At 46.1% G+C, this 15,707-nt stretch overlaps 1 protein-coding gene across 9 annotated transcripts in view, besides 1 other annotated feature; it reads left to right on the top strand.

The window, feature by feature from the left end:
• Positions 2,603-3,196: an enhancer, noted in NCBI's record as "H3K27ac-H3K4me1 hESC enhancer chr20:52790155-52790748 (GRCh37/hg19 assembly coordinates)". NCBI's record gives its function as "activates a minimal SCP1, AML or CMV promoter by ChIP-STARR-seq in naive H9 embryonic stem cells {active_cell/tissue: H9 hESC(naive)}" and the evidence as "EXISTENCE:reporter gene assay evidence [ECO:0000049][PMID:30033119]".
• CYP24A1 (cytochrome P450 family 24 subfamily A member 1) overlaps positions 2,826-15,707 on the top strand; it is a 30,449-nt gene continuing 17,567 nt past the window's right edge. For all 9 annotated transcript variants that reach the window (XM_017027692.3, XM_047439938.1, NM_001128915.2 and 6 more), the window contains exons 1-7: positions 2,826-3,490; positions 3,713-3,903; positions 5,142-5,235; positions 7,124-7,220; positions 10,979-11,070; positions 12,249-12,360; positions 13,950-14,095. In XM_017027692.3, coding sequence (XP_016883181.1) covers positions 3,233-3,490; positions 3,713-3,903; positions 5,142-5,235; positions 7,124-7,220; positions 10,979-11,070; positions 12,249-12,360; positions 13,950-14,095 — 990 coding nt within the window. In that variant the 5' untranslated portion in view covers positions 2,826-3,232. The remainder of the gene's footprint in view (positions 3,491-3,712; positions 3,904-5,141; positions 5,236-7,123; positions 7,221-10,978; positions 11,071-12,248; positions 12,361-13,949; positions 14,096-15,707) is intronic.

The following is a 15,707-nucleotide window of genomic DNA, read 5'->3' as shown; positions in this document are numbered from 1 at the left end:
CATTTCAAGATCTCTCATTAGTAATTCCTGACAAGATCCCTATCCGGATGACTCATAGAGGCTAAGTAGTGAGTGAAGGATGAGGACAGATGAGGAATAGTGAATTCCTGGAAGCGGGATCAAAAATAGTCATTTTGAATTTAATCATACTTCTCAAGGACAGGTATGTATTGGGGTCAATGAAGTTTCAAAGAACTAGTCTTGCTTTCCTCTGCAATCCGGTCTAAAAATTACTGGGGATTTTCTCCACTGAACATGAGAAACCAATATCCCTGAAACAGGAATTTTCTTTTTAGCTATCATGTAACTAATGATTGCCCATATATTTAAATATCTATTTAGAGTATATAAAGCTATATAGCATGAAACTCTTAGAAAAACCTAGCAAGTCTGAAATTATTTCCTCTTCTCCTTGTGCATATCTGCCAAAAGAGAAGGAAAAGAAAGAATAATTGGGAAAATTACTCAATAGTTGAAATAACAATAGACCATTCACTGTGTCCAAGCACCTCACCAGAATCAAGGTACTCAGTAGTGAAAAACATAGACCTTCTGTTTAGAGCTATTTTTTTTTTTTTTTTTTTGACAGAGTCTTACTCTGTCGCCCAGGCTGGAGTGCAGTGGGGCGATCTCGGCTCACTGTAACCTCCGCCTCCCGAGTTCAAGCGATTCTCCTGCCTCAGCCTCCTGAGTAGCTGGGATTACAGGCATGCACCACCACACCCGGCTAATTTTTGTATTTTTGGTAGAGATGGGCTTTCACCATGTTGGCCAGGCTGGTCTCGAACTCCCAACCTCAGGTGATCCGCCCACCTCGGCCTCCCAAAGTGCTGGGATTACAGGCGTGAGCCACTACACTCAGCCAGAGCTATTCTTTTTCACCACCGTCAGCACATAAAACGTTTGCCTCACACTGCCCCACACATACTGACATGGTAGGCATTCTGATCCCCCCCACTTTCCTCTTGGTGATAATTCTCATTTAAGAAATACTTCCAATATTCTGAGACACTCTGGTTTAAGAAAAAGTGACATAACATAGCATGATGTATATGGGTGTACTATTTAGGGCCCAGCCTAGAATCAGAAAATATTGGGTCTGAATCCCACCTGAGCCAATGGTAACGTCTGTGACATTGGGCAAATTACTTAGCTCTGTAAGAGTCAAGGGTTTTTTTGTTTGTCTTTGATTTTTTTTTGTTTTTTATTTTATTTCATTTTATTGACATTGGGCTGAGATGAGAACTAAACGGAAAAAATGATGTAAAATGTCTAGCTCAGTGCCTGACTTATCATAAGCCCTAGAAAGCTTTCATGAGAATATTATATAACATATGGAATCTACATACTGTATGCAATCTATACTATATTATGTATATTTAGTGTGTATTGCATATAACATAATCTATAGTGTATGCTGTAACATATATACCATACAATGTATATATAAATATGTACAAGATTCATAAAGTTTAGTATATATCAATAGCTATTATTTTTATTAACATAAACAGTCATTAGCCCCTCCAGACAAATCAGAAATGATGGTGTTAAAGCTTAAGTTGGACTGCAAAAGATTTTTAAGAAACAAACTAGAGGCTTACAAAAGAATTTACCAGGGAAGGATTTGCCAACACTTGGGGCAAAAATGACTGAGACACGTAATTGAAAAGCAGGGCGAGGAAACAGAATGTCCCTCCCCTCCTCCCTGGCTGGTGGTAGTTTTGTATTGGATCAGGTTGAAAGGATTCGAGCCACTTTAAAACAATCAACAAAAATCTCCAACTTCCGTTCCTGAATTAGCAAAGCGAGTTCTACTCTTGCCAGCCGCGGTAACTCTAGAAATTGTGTATGTTTGTCACTGGACCTGCCTAGGACGCACCTTGGGGGAGAGGGGGAGTACTGGGGGCGGTGGTTTCAAGCTCTGTGTGCCCCTCCTTTGCACAAGGTAGTCGGTGTAGAAGAACAGAGGCGGGCAGTGGACATAGGGGAGGTGGCCCAGCCTGAATTCAAGCATCGTTGGTGCAAGCCACGCTCTCAAGGCGCATTTCCTAACTTCCTAAAGAAGTAACAACAGCAACTAACTTTTATTGACTGTTGACTATAGACAAGGCTTCGTTGTTGCCGCTTTACGTGCATTAATTCATTTAATCTGCAAAACAACCAAACATGAAACAGCAGGAAGGAAATTCTACAAACTCCCCTTCTTGCTCAAGTTAAGAAAGTCTCCTCTTCTGGTGCATTTCAGTAAGACTCAAATCCTCCCCACCCTGGGAGGCGCAGAAAGCCAAACTTCCTCCAAAAAAAAAAAGGCAAAAAAAAAAAAAAAATCACTTCAGTCCAGGCTGGGGGTATCTGGCTCCCCGGGAGGCGCCCGGGCTCCCCGGGGCCCTGGCAGACGCCGGCAGCTTTTCTGGGCCCGCACTCGGGGACCTCGCCCGCCCGGCATCGCGATTGTGCAAGCGCCGGGCGGCAACCACGGCCGCCGCTGCCGGCTCCTGCCCGCCGGGGGAGGGCGGGGAGGCGCGTTCGAAGCACACCCGGTGAACTCCGGGCTTCGCATGACTTCCTGGGGGTTATCTCCGGGGTGGAGTCTGCCGCCCCCACCCCACCTCCCGCGCCCAGCGAACATAGCCCCGGTCACCCCAGGCCCGGACGCCCTCGCTCACCTCGCTGACTCCATCCTCCTTCCACCCCCCCTCCCCTGGGTCCCGCGTCCCTCGGAGTCTGGCCAGCCGGGGGCCACTCCGCCCTCCTCTGCGTGCTCATTGGCCACCCAGGGCATGCTCTGTCTCCATAAATGCATGGTCCCTGGGCATAGGAACATGGAGAGGGACAGGAGGAAACGCAGCGCCAGCAGCATCTCATCTACCCTCCTTGACACCTCCCCGTGGCTCCAGCCAGACCCTAGAGGTCAGCCTTGCGGACCAACAGGAGGACTCCCAGCTTTCCCTTTTCAAGAGGTCCCCAGACACCGGCCACCCTCTTCCAGCCCCTGCGGCCAGTGCAAGGAGGCACCAATGCTCTGAGGCTGTCGCGTGGTGCAGCGTCGAGCATCCTCGCCGAGGTCCTTTCTGCTGCCTGTCCCGCCTCACCCCGCTCCATCACACCAGCTGGCCCTCTTTGCTTCCTTTTCCCAGAATCGTTAAGCCCCGACTCCCACTAGCACCTCGTACCAACCTCGCCCCACCCCATCCTCCTGCCTTCCCGCGCTCCGGTGTCCCCCGCTGCCATGAGCTCCCCCATCAGCAAGAGCCGCTCGCTTGCCGCCTTCCTGCAGCAGCTGCGCAGTCCGAGGCAGCCCCCGAGACTGGTGACATCTACGGCGTACACGTCCCCTCAGCCGCGAGAGGTGCCAGTCTGCCCGCTGACAGCTGGTGGCGAGACTCAGAACGCGGCCGCCCTGCCGGGCCCCACCAGCTGGCCACTGCTGGGCAGCCTGCTGCAGATTCTCTGGAAAGGGGGTCTCAAGAAACAGCACGACACCCTGGTAAACCCCTTTTCGCGCCCCTGACTCTCTCCTCCCTCTTCCGCCCTCCCAGTGGCGCTCCAAACCCTCCCCGACATGCGCGCCTCGGGCGCATGGTGCGCTTCGGCGTCTGGGCAGGGAGGGTCCCCGGTCCCCTAGGAGGAAGGAGGCGGGAGGAGGGAAAGCGCTTCGGGCACGGCGGAGGATGCGCGCTGACACCGCGCTGTGCCCGGCCGGCTGCAGGTGGAGTACCACAAGAAGTATGGCAAGATTTTCCGCATGAAGTTGGGTTCCTTTGAGTCGGTGCACCTGGGCTCGCCATGCCTGCTGGAAGCGCTGTACCGCACCGAGAGCGCGTACCCGCAGCGGCTGGAGATCAAACCGTGGAAGGCCTATCGCGACTACCGCAAAGAAGGCTACGGGCTGCTGATCCTGTGAGTCCAATCCGAGGGACCTGGGCATGCGGCCAGACCTGATGAGCCTGACGGCGCCTGGAAATTGTGAAGAGGCGGAGTTAGAGTTCCCTGGGGTTGGAAGCTTCTTACGTAGGGCGGATACCAAAGCCCCTCTCCCGTGCCATCGCAACCCTGAGCTCTTGTACAGATTAGAGTCGGTCCACGGAAAAGCCGTGCTGTGCACCCAGCACCTGCGTTCTCTCTGGCAACAGGGCAGGGCCACACCCTCCCATCAAAGAAACGCCAAAACAGGGTTGTACCAACTGTGGTGTTCAGACTCTTGGGCAGGATGAGGTTCTGAAGTCAGCGTACCAGGCAAACATCTTATACAAACAAAATTATCCCTTAAAACTCCCTGAAACACCTTGTAAGCTCAAAAGCGAGGAGTTAGCCTCTTTGGCTTTTTACAGTGACATTTTCTGCAGAGGATTGGGGGACATGCCTTATTTCTACTTGTAAAGGTGGAATAAGGAGGGATATCAAAGTTGTGTTTTAGGTCGACAAATGCTACTATGGGATGTGATTCTTCTGCTTTTTAGTTGTTAGCATTTAACAAGTTAGCACCTTTATTTACCCCCAAACTGTAATGCCTAATCGTTATATTTTCCAGGATATAATGACTGGAATTAAAAACCCTATTAATTCACGGTGCTTCACAGGCTGTATGGTCTGCTATGGGGCAGGTGCCTACAAGTGCACGATCGCAAAAGGCTTTTTATTACTCCAGTGACTCTCTGACTGTATGTTATTATTTGGAGGCGATGGCAAAATTCTAAATCTGAGATATTTTGTAAATATGAAGCCCACACCAATGAGTTGAAAGAAGACAAGATTCTTCCCTCAAACAGATCTGAGTTGCTGGTGATGGGGTGTTCACATGCCCCCTTTTACCGCTAGGAATTGTCCCCAGGCCTCCCAGCCCCACTCCCTGCAAGGACACCTCAAAATCCCTGAACCCAAATTATCTGGACTTCAACTTTTTGGTGCAATCTTTGACTAGGAGGAAAGGTGCTTTTTCATCCTATTGTCAAACTATTGTCAAAAGATGATCACTATTTTATCCCAAATATTCTGATGCTAATATTCTCTGGCTATTTCTTGGCATGATTCTCAGTGTTTGTTTGATTTTATGGTTCCTGAAGTTGCAGCTGGAGTATTTCTGCATCTCCTTCTTTTCTTTTCAGTGTGCTCTAAATGTATTCCTGCTTCTCTCACAGGGAAGGGGAAGACTGGCAGCGGGTCCGGAGTGCCTTTCAAAAGAAACTAATGAAACCAGGGGAAGTGATGAAGCTGGACAACAAAATCAATGAGGTCTGCAGGCTGGGGCCAGCTTTCCTGGGGCTCGTGGGGACATAGGGATATTGGTGGAGCTTCAAGTCACAGCTACAAAGAACAAAGGAAAAAAGAATGCAATTCGGGTGATTCAAAGTGGGGGTCTTCTCTTTCTCTCCATTCCTTCCTACAGCCTCCTCCCCACCAAACCCTTATTTCTCCCTCCTCCACCCTCTTTTAAAGTCATATCACAATGAGGGAGCAATGGAGAGTGTGGACTTTGGTATTCTACAGCCCTGGATTTGAACCCCAGCTTTCCACTCCCTGGCTATGAGACCTGGCTATATACCACTTACCTTCCCTAAGCCTCAGTTTCCCCATCTACAAAATGGGAGTAACAGTTCCCACCCCACGGGTTTGCTGTGAGAATTAAATGAGATAACATTGTAAAGTTCTTAAGTAGTGATATTTGAGCTGGGTTTTGCAGGAGGAGTCTGAAAGCAGAGAAAGTGGGGGAAGGCATTAAGGCAGACAGAGTAGCCTTCTGAAAACAGGGAGGCATGAAATGACGTGGTGTGTTCAGAGAATCGGTCATTTAGTGTAGCTGATGTGAGGCTTTCTCTGAAATGATACTGGATAGGTCTTAACAATATTTTTGTATTATACTAAGGTATTTGGACATTATCCCTTAGCCAGCACGGAGTCAAAGGGAGTTTTAAGCATAAAGTAATCTCTTTTTACTTCTGTTCACTTTGGATGTTTATTTTGAACTGGATGCGTCCCCAGATGGGATCATATAGGTGAAGGATTGCAAACTCAGAAGCTTCCAGGGCTCACATGACTAATATAAAATAATAAGGCAGACCCAGTAAAAATTTCAGGAAACGTGATAGTGCATGCCCCTCCCAGGAGGGACAGCAGCCCCAGTTCCAGCAAACGAATGCCATGTCAGAATGCAGACCTCATGTCACCAAGTCTCATAATTATTATTTACATTTTTAAACTAGTAGTGGTAAATCCATATGTTCATATGAAACCTCTTGTTTTTTTTAATGGTAACAAATTCAAAGAACTTTTAAATGCGCTATGCGGGCAAATTAAACTTGCAAACTAAATCCACACATGTGGGCTGTATGGCCACACCAGCTCACGGCAGGGTCCAGGATGGCAACTTATCAGCTCTGTGTGCATAAGTGAGTGACTTGGCCTCTTTAAGCCTCAGCTTTCTCATCTACTACATGGGAAATGAGTAGAGACGGTACCTACTACTACTTGGTTGTCAGAGGATCAACCAATACACTTCGTACAGTGTTTGGTACCATATGGACCTCATTAAATGTGAGGCATTAGTTATTGAAAACTCTGGTTTATGAAACTGGCATCCAAAGGTCTTATGTGACTATCCCAAGGTCATAGACTACTTAGGGAAGGAGCTGTGTCCAGAATTGGTAGATCTTCTGGTTCCAAGTTCAACATGCTTAACATAACCACCAACCAATAAAGAGACGTTTGCTTGCCCAGATGTGGAAGGGCACACCTCAGGATAGCTGCTGCAACACAATCCTTGAGATGCTGGGCCAACAGGGACAGTTAGCTGATTCCTTTGTGGTTTTATTCCCCCATTCTGATTAGAAAAAAAAAATGTTTTCCTTTTCTTAAATTGCCAGAATTATTTTTAGATCAAAAGCTGAAACTTAAGCTTCAGGGTGGCTTCAGGAAAAGCTCAGGAAATAACCCAGGACGAGGTCATTAGGGGATAAGGTGGGTTCCCAGGGAGAATATATAATTAGTGTGACTTCAGGATGAATAACATTATGGCCAGTGAATATGCGATGTAGCAAGACCTGAAGTTAGCTCAGTGAGCTTTAAAGTTTTGTTTTCCTTCAACGGCTTTAAAATGTGTCTTTTGCGGTTGTTTTCTTTGAAGGTCTTGGCCGATTTTATGGGCAGAATAGATGAGCTCTGTGATGAAAGAGGCCACGTTGAAGACTTGTACAGCGAACTGAACAAATGGTCGTTTGAAAGTAAGTTGTCGTCACAGACTTGCTCACTGATTTTGCAGGTGATTTTGCGGATAAAACATGGCTCTTTTGACAACTCTTTTGTAAACAGGCATTATTGCTGCCTAGGGAAAGGCCAGAGCAGCCCTTTTAATGCTTCTTTTAGGTGCTTAAGTTATGCCTTGAACTATGGATTGTTAATGAGTCATACAACAAACATTTGTTGAATACTTGCTGTGTGTCTGGCACTGTGCTAGGTACTAGGGATATGACAATGAATGAAACGCATAACCCCTGTACCCTTGGGGAGCTTATATGCTAGACAAGGTGACAGTCAACAAGTAAACACATTTTAAAATATACTCTTCCAAGGAGTAAAGGAAAAGAGAAAGGGAGTTAAGAAAGAACATGAAAGGCAGGCATGGTGGCACATGCCTATAATCCCAGGACTTTGGGAGGCTGAGGTGGGCAGATCGCTTGAGGCCAGCCCAGGAATCTGAGAACAGCTTGGGCAACACAGCAAAACCTTGTCTCTACAAAAAATACAAAAATTAGTCAGGGTTGGTGGCACATGCCTGTAGTCCCATCTACTTGGGAGGCTGAGGTGGGAGGATTGCTTGACCCCGGGACGCTGAAGCTAAAGTGAGCCGTGATTGTACCACTGCATTGCAGTCTGGGTGACAGTGTGAGACCCCGTCTCAAGAAAGAGAGAGAGACAGAGAAAGGAAGGAAGGAAGGAAGGAAGGAAGGAAGGAAGGAAGGAAGGAAGAAGGGAGGGAGGGAGGGAAGGAAGGAAGGAGGGAGGGAGGGAGGGAGGGAAGGCAGAAGGGAGGGAGGGAAGGAAGGAAGGAGGGAGAGAAGGAAGGAAGGAAGGAGGGAAGGAAAAGAAAAAGAGAAAGGAAAGAAAAAAGAAAAGAAATAAAGAAGAAAAGAGAGAGAGAGAAAGAAATAACATGAAAGAATGAAAGAGGGGCAAGTCTTTTTTAGTAAGAAGACATTTGAGGTAAGTCCTAAAGGAAGGGAAGGAGCAAATCATGAGGGTACCTGTGGAGGATTGTTCCAGGCAGCAGAGAAGAAAGTGCAAATGCCAGGAGGTGGAAGCATGAGCGCCGAGTTTGAGGAACTTCAAGCTGCTGGTGTGAGTGGATCACGATGAACAAGCTGGGAGGAAGGGGAGCCTGTGAAAGGAGATGAGGTCAAAAAGAAGGCAGGTGTCCAACAGGGCACAGCTCATAGGTCCTGGCAAGACTTTACCTCTCATCTGACTCAGATGGGGCAAGTAAGGGAGGGAGGACATGACCGCTTTCTTCAAAGATTACTCTGGAAATAAAGGGCAGAGCTCACTGCCCATGGGGGTGCAAGAGGAGAGCAGGCAGCTGTGATCAGGTGGGACAGCGCCTGGCTGAGGACATTCAGGGCTGTGGGAGAATCTGAGAGGGCCACCTAAGCCGGACATGGCCAGGGGTCGCTTCACAGAGATGGTGCCCCTCAGCTAAGTCCTGATGGTTGAGTAGGAGTTCACCAGGTGAAAAGGGAGGAAGGAGAGTGTCCCTGCAGAAGAAGTGCGGAATGACAAGCATATCCTGTAACAGAGGCTGGCAGAGGGCCAGCAGCCAGCTCATGGAGGGCTGTATGAGCGGGAGTTTGAATTTTAGCCTGTAAGTAACCGGGAGCTGCGGGAATGTATTCAGCAGCAGTGTGATATATGGGCAGATTTACTGGGAGGATCACTGTGGCTGCTGATGGGAGGGATAGAAGGAAAACCTATAACACTTCCATAAATTCAAGGTCAGAAATATTGCCATAAATAGATAAATATAAGTAACTTTTTTTAATTACTTATTTGAGACAGACTCTCACTCTGCCCCAGGCTGGAGTGCAGCGGCGTGATCTCGGCTCACTGCAACCTCCACCTCCTGGGTTCAAGCGATTCTCCTGCCTCAGCATCCTGAGCAGCTGGGACTACAGGTGCACACCACCATGCCTGGCTGATTTTTGTGTTTTTTAGTACAGATGGGGTTTCACCATGTTGCCCAGGCTGGTCTCGAACTGCTGACCTCAGGTGATCCACTTACCTCAGCCTCCCAAAGTGCTGGTATTGCAGGCGTGCGATACCACGCCTGACTAACTTTTGTGTTTTTTAAGTAGAGATGGGGTTTTGCCACCGGTTGGTCTCAAACTCCTGACCTCAGATGATGCTCCCACCTCCACCTCTGAGAGTGCTGGGATTACAAGCATGAGCCATTGTGCCCAGCAGAGTAACTAATTATTTTTAAAGTTCATGTACCATCCAGAGCTATCTCACATATTCCCAGTGGTGTACCTGCCAACCACTGTGGAACACAAATACGGGGAAACCTTGAAAGGCTGGGAAGAAATAAGTAGAGTTTGGAAAACATGGAGGTAGTTGGAAAAGCTGTGGGTGGGTGCTGACTAAGCTAATTGACTCTCACTCCTCAGGTTTATGATTTTAGGCCATTTGTTTACCTTTTTAATGCTAGTCTCCTACTTTATAAGTCAAGAGCCAATTATCCACCACTAAAAAGTTGGTTGCAGTAATCCTGTATAATTTTTTTTTTCCAGACTGTGTCACTCAGGCTAGGGTGCAGTGGCCAGTGGTATGATCTCGGCCCACTGCAACCTCGGCCTCCTGGGCCCAAGAGATCTTCCCACCTCAGCCTCCAGAGTAGCTGGAACTACAGGCACATGTAGCCATGCCTGAATAATTTTTTTATTTTTATTTTTTTGTAGAGACAGCGTTTTGCCATGTTGCCCAGGCTATTCTCGAACTCCTGGGCTCAAGCAGTCTGCCTGCCCGAGCCTCCTGAAGTGTTGGGATTACAGGTGTGAACCACCACGCTCGGCCCTGTGTCCTTTTTTTAAAAAAAAAAGGTTACAAGAGATAATTTTTAGGACAATGGGGAACATTTTAAAATGGGACACAGTAGATTTTTTATGGAATGGTCGCTAAGGTTCTTAGGGATGTTAATGACATTGTGGTTATGTTGGAGAATGCTTTATTCTTAGGACATTACTGCTAAAGTATTTAACGGTGAAGTGACCTGAGAGCTCAAAATTATTTTCAGATGCTTCAGCACACACAACCACGTATACACTTGTATGCATACATACACACAAAGAGAAAGAAATGGCAGCAAGATGTTGATGAGTTCGGGGGATTCAGGTATTCATTTTACCATTCCTTCAACTTTTCTCTAGGTAAAAAGTTTTGAAATGAAGAGTTGAGAATTTTATTTGTAAAAAGGTTCCTTCTAAATAAAATGATGAAATGGAAGGAAAAAAAACCCTATATGAAGTGCTAGCCCAGTACCTGGCGTGTAATGGGTGTTTAGAACATAATTATTCCCTTCCCTTCTCTTCCTCTGGTGAATGGCTTCCAATTCATTATGTCAGGAGATAGAATCCAATAAGTGACTCTAAAAACACAGCTGGGTTAGAGGCAGAGTGCAGACCCGACCCTGCAGCACCTTTGCTAGGGCCCCTGGATCTCCTGTGTGACTTGATCAGGACAGTGGATCTCTGATCATGACACTCTGAGGTGATGAGTCATTGGACCTGGAGATAATTTCTAGAAAAAGAAAGTGATGGTGTCCCCTTTCTCTCAGACTCTGCTTTTCCTCAATATTCTTGGACTGTTGCCTTTTCTCAGAAAATCCCACACTTTTAAGAGGCATAGAATTGAGTCTTTAATAACCAGCTAAACATAGACTCCAACTCCAGCATTGCTGTTTGTGTAAAGTGATGATTATTTTAAATGACAGGTATCTGCCTCGTGTTGTATGAGAAGAGATTTGGGCTTCTCCAGAAGAATGCAGGGGATGAAGCTGTGAACTTCATCATGGCCATCAAAACAGTAAGCAGCCTCTTTAAGAAAGCAGTTTTCTTGATTGATGTTTTACAGATCGATTTTTACAGAACTTCACAGTGATTCCCAAAAAATGGCATACACACATATTTTATTTCAATAGTTAAGTGTTCATTTTAATGTGCATTATATATTTTAGTATATTTATGTGCATATATGCGGCTGTCTCCAACCTTTTTGGCACCAGGGACCAGTTTCGTGGAAGACAATTTTTCCATGGACAGGGCAGGGTGGTGGGGCAGGGGAGGGAGGATCATTTAAGTGCATTACGTTTACTGTGCACTTTATTTCTGTTATTATTATATACTCACCATAATGTAGAATCAGTGGGAGCCCTGAGCTTGTTTTCGTGCAACACGAAAGTCCCATCTGGGGGTGATGGGAGACAGTGACAGATCATCAGGCATTAGATTCTCATAAGGAGTGTGGAACATAGATTCCTCGCATAGGCAATTCACAATAGGGTTCACACTCCTGTAAGAATCTAATGCAGCCATTGATCTGAGAGGAGGCAGAGCTCAGGTGGTAACACCTGCTGGCCCGCTGATCACCTCCTGCTGCGCGGCCCCGTTCCTAACAGGCCACTGACCAGTACTGGTTCACGGCCTGGGGGTTGGGGACCCCTGGATATATGCACGTAACATAAAGAAGCACATTAAATCCATTATTTCTTTGTTTAGGCAAGGTTAAAATAGCTATTTTAATTAAAGATCAGTTGATTAAAAATACTTTTTAAAAAGAGCCCAAAATTTTTCAGATTTTATCTTTTTGAATAGTTTGGGTGGCGTGTAGATAGGATAAACGCTGTGAAATTGGTTTGGAAATCACTGAAGTTTGGAAATTATTAGAAATTGAAGTGAATATGAAAGTTATCGTTTTTCCTCTTTTTTTTTTTTTTTTTACAATTAGGTCATAAGATTACAATTTTTATCAAACACATCCAGTGGAAAATCATCCCCCACATTACCTTCAATATTGAAAGGAGGTGGAGGTGGGGTACGGGCATTGCTCCCAGGACCGGTGCAGAGAGAGCCGGGGGTGTCCTTGTAATTCCAGCCTTTTAAAAAGTGCAGGGTGCTGCGGTTTAGAATGTTCCTCTTCCAGAACGAACATTGTCTTTGAGAGAAGGAGAATTCAGAATAAAAAGGCATTTGCATTTCTCTCAGATGATGAGCACGTTTGGGAGGATGATGGTCACTCCAGTCGAGCTGCACAAGAGCCTCAACACCAAGGTCTGGCAGGACCACACTCTGGCCTGGGACACCATTTTCAAATCAGGTAAAGGGCCGCCCTTCACAACCAGCCAGAACCAGCCCAGCACCCCCGTGTCTGGAGCTTCAGAGAGGAGGTCTGGAGTGATCTCCTGAGCCTCATCACCACATTTAGGTTTTGCAAACACAGGTGTTTTGGGGATTGCCCCAGCATACACAAATTCTAAGTAACAAGCTTTCTGTAGTCTTCTTTGGGAATTAAGAGTGGTTAAAAGTAAAATCTGGCCAGGTGCAGTGGCTCACCCCTGTAATCCCAGCACTTTGGGTGGCCCAGGCGAGCAGATCACTTGAGGCCAGGAGTTTGAGATCAGCCCGGTCAACACGGTGAAACCCAGTCTCTACTACAAATACAAAAATTAGCTGGGCGTGGTGGTGGGCACCTGTAATCCCAGCTACTCAGGAGGCTGAGGCAGGAGAATTGCTTGAACCTGGGAGGCGGAGGTTGCAGTGAGCCAAGACTGAGCCACTGCACTCCATCTTGGGAGGCAGAGTGAGACTCCATCTCAAAATAAAAAAGTAAAATTTATAGAGTCAGGGACTCCTGAGTTCAAGTTCAGCTCTGTCACTGGTTGTGGTGGCTTGGCCAAATGTGCAATCACCTTTTCATCCTCAGTTGCCTTGTCTCTAAAATGGACTAATAATTAATAATAATAATAAGAGAACCTACCTCAATGTAACTGTTTCTGGGTCTACTACAGATTACAGTTAACATAAAAACCTGGCATATCACAGTATCTCCGTGGACTAGATCTATTTCTGCCACATGACGAAGGGGAATATTTGATGCTAGGCATTGTTCACTTACACATTTAGTTAATCCTCACAACACACCTATAAGGTAGGTCCTTTTATTAGCCCTGAGAGGGGTACCTGAGACACATAGAAGTTAGCCAACGTTCCCAAGATTGCATGCTAGGTGATGGCAAAGCCAAGGTTTGAAGCCAGACAAGGAGCTTCCAGGACTCGAACTCTAACTGCTGTGCCATATGTGATCAGCATGATTATTACCATATAATGAGCCTGGTGGTTGTTTGCTTAATAGTGAGGGAGGTACACGCCTAGATTTTATGTTATAAATATTAGAAATTTTTACCATTATTGTCAACATGGATGGACACTCTACTTGTGCGTATGTATGTGGGGTATGTGTGCTTAGTAATATCTGGGTCCAAGTTGGATTCTGAAAGTGAACCCAAATCCTACCTTCTTTTACACTTTTTTCTCCCAAGATCTAAACTCTTACTACTCAAAACTATGACCTGCAGCCCAGTGGCATCAGCATCACCTAGAAGCTTATTAGGAATGCAGAGTTCCAGGCCTACCCAAGCCCTGATTCAGATTCTGCATTTTGAGAAGATGCCTAGGTGACTCCTATCCACATTAAAGTTTGAGAAGCCTTGCTCATGTCGGTATTGAAAAATCCTTGCCGACTTGACAAGAAGGCAATAATATAATTAGTGTGTGTAGCAAATTGTCAGTGTTCCTGAAAAGACTATTTAGATATTGCAAGAAGGAGTTTGGACTGAGGTTTTCTTCTGTGATTTTCCTCATCCCAATTTTCAGCTGACTTCCTCTCTTTCTTCTCTGCTCTAATAGTCAAAGCTTGTATCGACAACCGGTTAGAGAAGTATTCTCAGCAGCCTAGTGCAGATTTCCTTTGTGACATTTATCACCAGAATCGGCTTTCAAAGAAAGAATTGTATGCTGCTGTCACAGAGCTCCAGCTGGCTGCGGTGGAAACGGTAAGGGTGGGCTGGATTTGAGTTTGCTAAATGAACGGTCTGTACCATTTTTAGATGACAGATTTTAAATAGTAATTCATCTCATTCATTTCACTGGGATTCACTAGCATCAACTCCACAAAAATGAAAAGTCTCATACTAGATGCCACGGTGCCTCCGCGCACAGCATCTATGCCACGGTGCCTCAGCGCACGGCCTCATACCAGACGCCACGGTGCCTCCATGCACGGGCTTCTGTGCTTAAACTCTGGGTAGGAGGAGACTTCATGTGCCCCAGTGACAAAAAGCCAGAGTAGGATGTGATGAGTGCCATGATGTCCATGCAAACTGCTACGGGAGTTCAGGAGCAGTAAAGTTCTCTGCCCTGGCAAGATACAGAATCCAGATTTTTCAAAATTGGAAGTATTTTGTTCAGTTGCACATGTTACCCCAAAGTGCCTAACTGTGGCTGTTACTTACTGTAAAAAAAAAAAAAAAAAAAAAAAAAAAAAAAAAAGGCATACTCTCTTTCAAGCCAATAATATTTTTATCTGCTTAGAATTGTAAACAAAGTCCCAAAGAGTCTGGGACAAGTGGATTTTAACTGAAGCAAAACAGCTCATTGTAAAGACCAAAATTCTGTCTCTGATGTGGCCGATACTCCCTAGGAGATAGCAGATACTAAGTGAGACCAACCCCAAACAAATCCTGCCATAGGCATTCAGGTAGGTTTAATTGACTTGGATACTAGTTCGAGCTGTGATGGGAGTGGCGCACGCTAACCTCCTCCTAAGTCCAACATTTCATGCACCTTAAAGTCTCTAAGCAAAATGTAAAGCAGTTGTTTATTTTCCATGTGCTTCCCCTTCTGTGCTGTTTCTTGCCTGAAGTAAAGGTAGGGTTTTCTCTATCAGGAGATAGCGAGGTTCTCATTTCTCCTCCTGCTCCACAAGGCGGTTGAAAGTGGGAATCCATCCTCGCTCACTTTCCTGTTGAACTGCTTACCCTGGGTGGCTCCTTCCAGTGATCAAAGTACAGTGTCACCCATTATTCTTTTATTTTTTCAACTGGAACGTGACCTCTCTGAGGGCAATGGCTTAGAGTTGTCCACTGCTGTGTTTCCAGGACATAGAACAGTACTTGGCATCTAGTAGCGGCTGATAGATACTTGTTGAATAAATGAAGGAATTCAGGAACTATTGAGTGCCTACTGTATGCCTGGGACTGTTCCAGGTTCTTGAGAGACCACCATGAACCAGAGACAAGGGTTCCCACTCTCATGGAACTTGTATGCAAGTGGGGAAGACAGACAGTAGCCATGTAAACAAACAAATGTGGTCACTTTAGATAGTGGTGTGGATTGTGGAGGACGCCATCAGGATGGTGTAATATAGAGAGATGGAGATGATTAAAGGGAAGCCCTCTCTGAGAAAGCAGTACTGGAGCTGACTCTGGAATAATGAGAAGAGCCAGCCACAGAAAGACCTCGTGGAAGAGCGCTGCAGGTAGAGGAAACGGCCCATGCAAAGGCCCTGGGGCAGAAAGAGGGATGGAGCTACAGAACTAGTAAATGTGGTCAGAGCTGAGACTGGAGAATTGGATGGGCCATGTTAGCCAGAGCCTTGTGAGCCCA

The sequence above is a fragment of the Homo sapiens genome, chromosome 20, assembly GCF_000001405.40.
Source record: "Homo sapiens chromosome 20, GRCh38.p14 Primary Assembly".
NCBI classification, from domain to species: Eukaryota; Metazoa; Chordata; class Mammalia; order Primates; family Hominidae; genus Homo; species Homo sapiens.
This window is presented reverse-complemented; position numbering and strand designations above follow the sequence as displayed.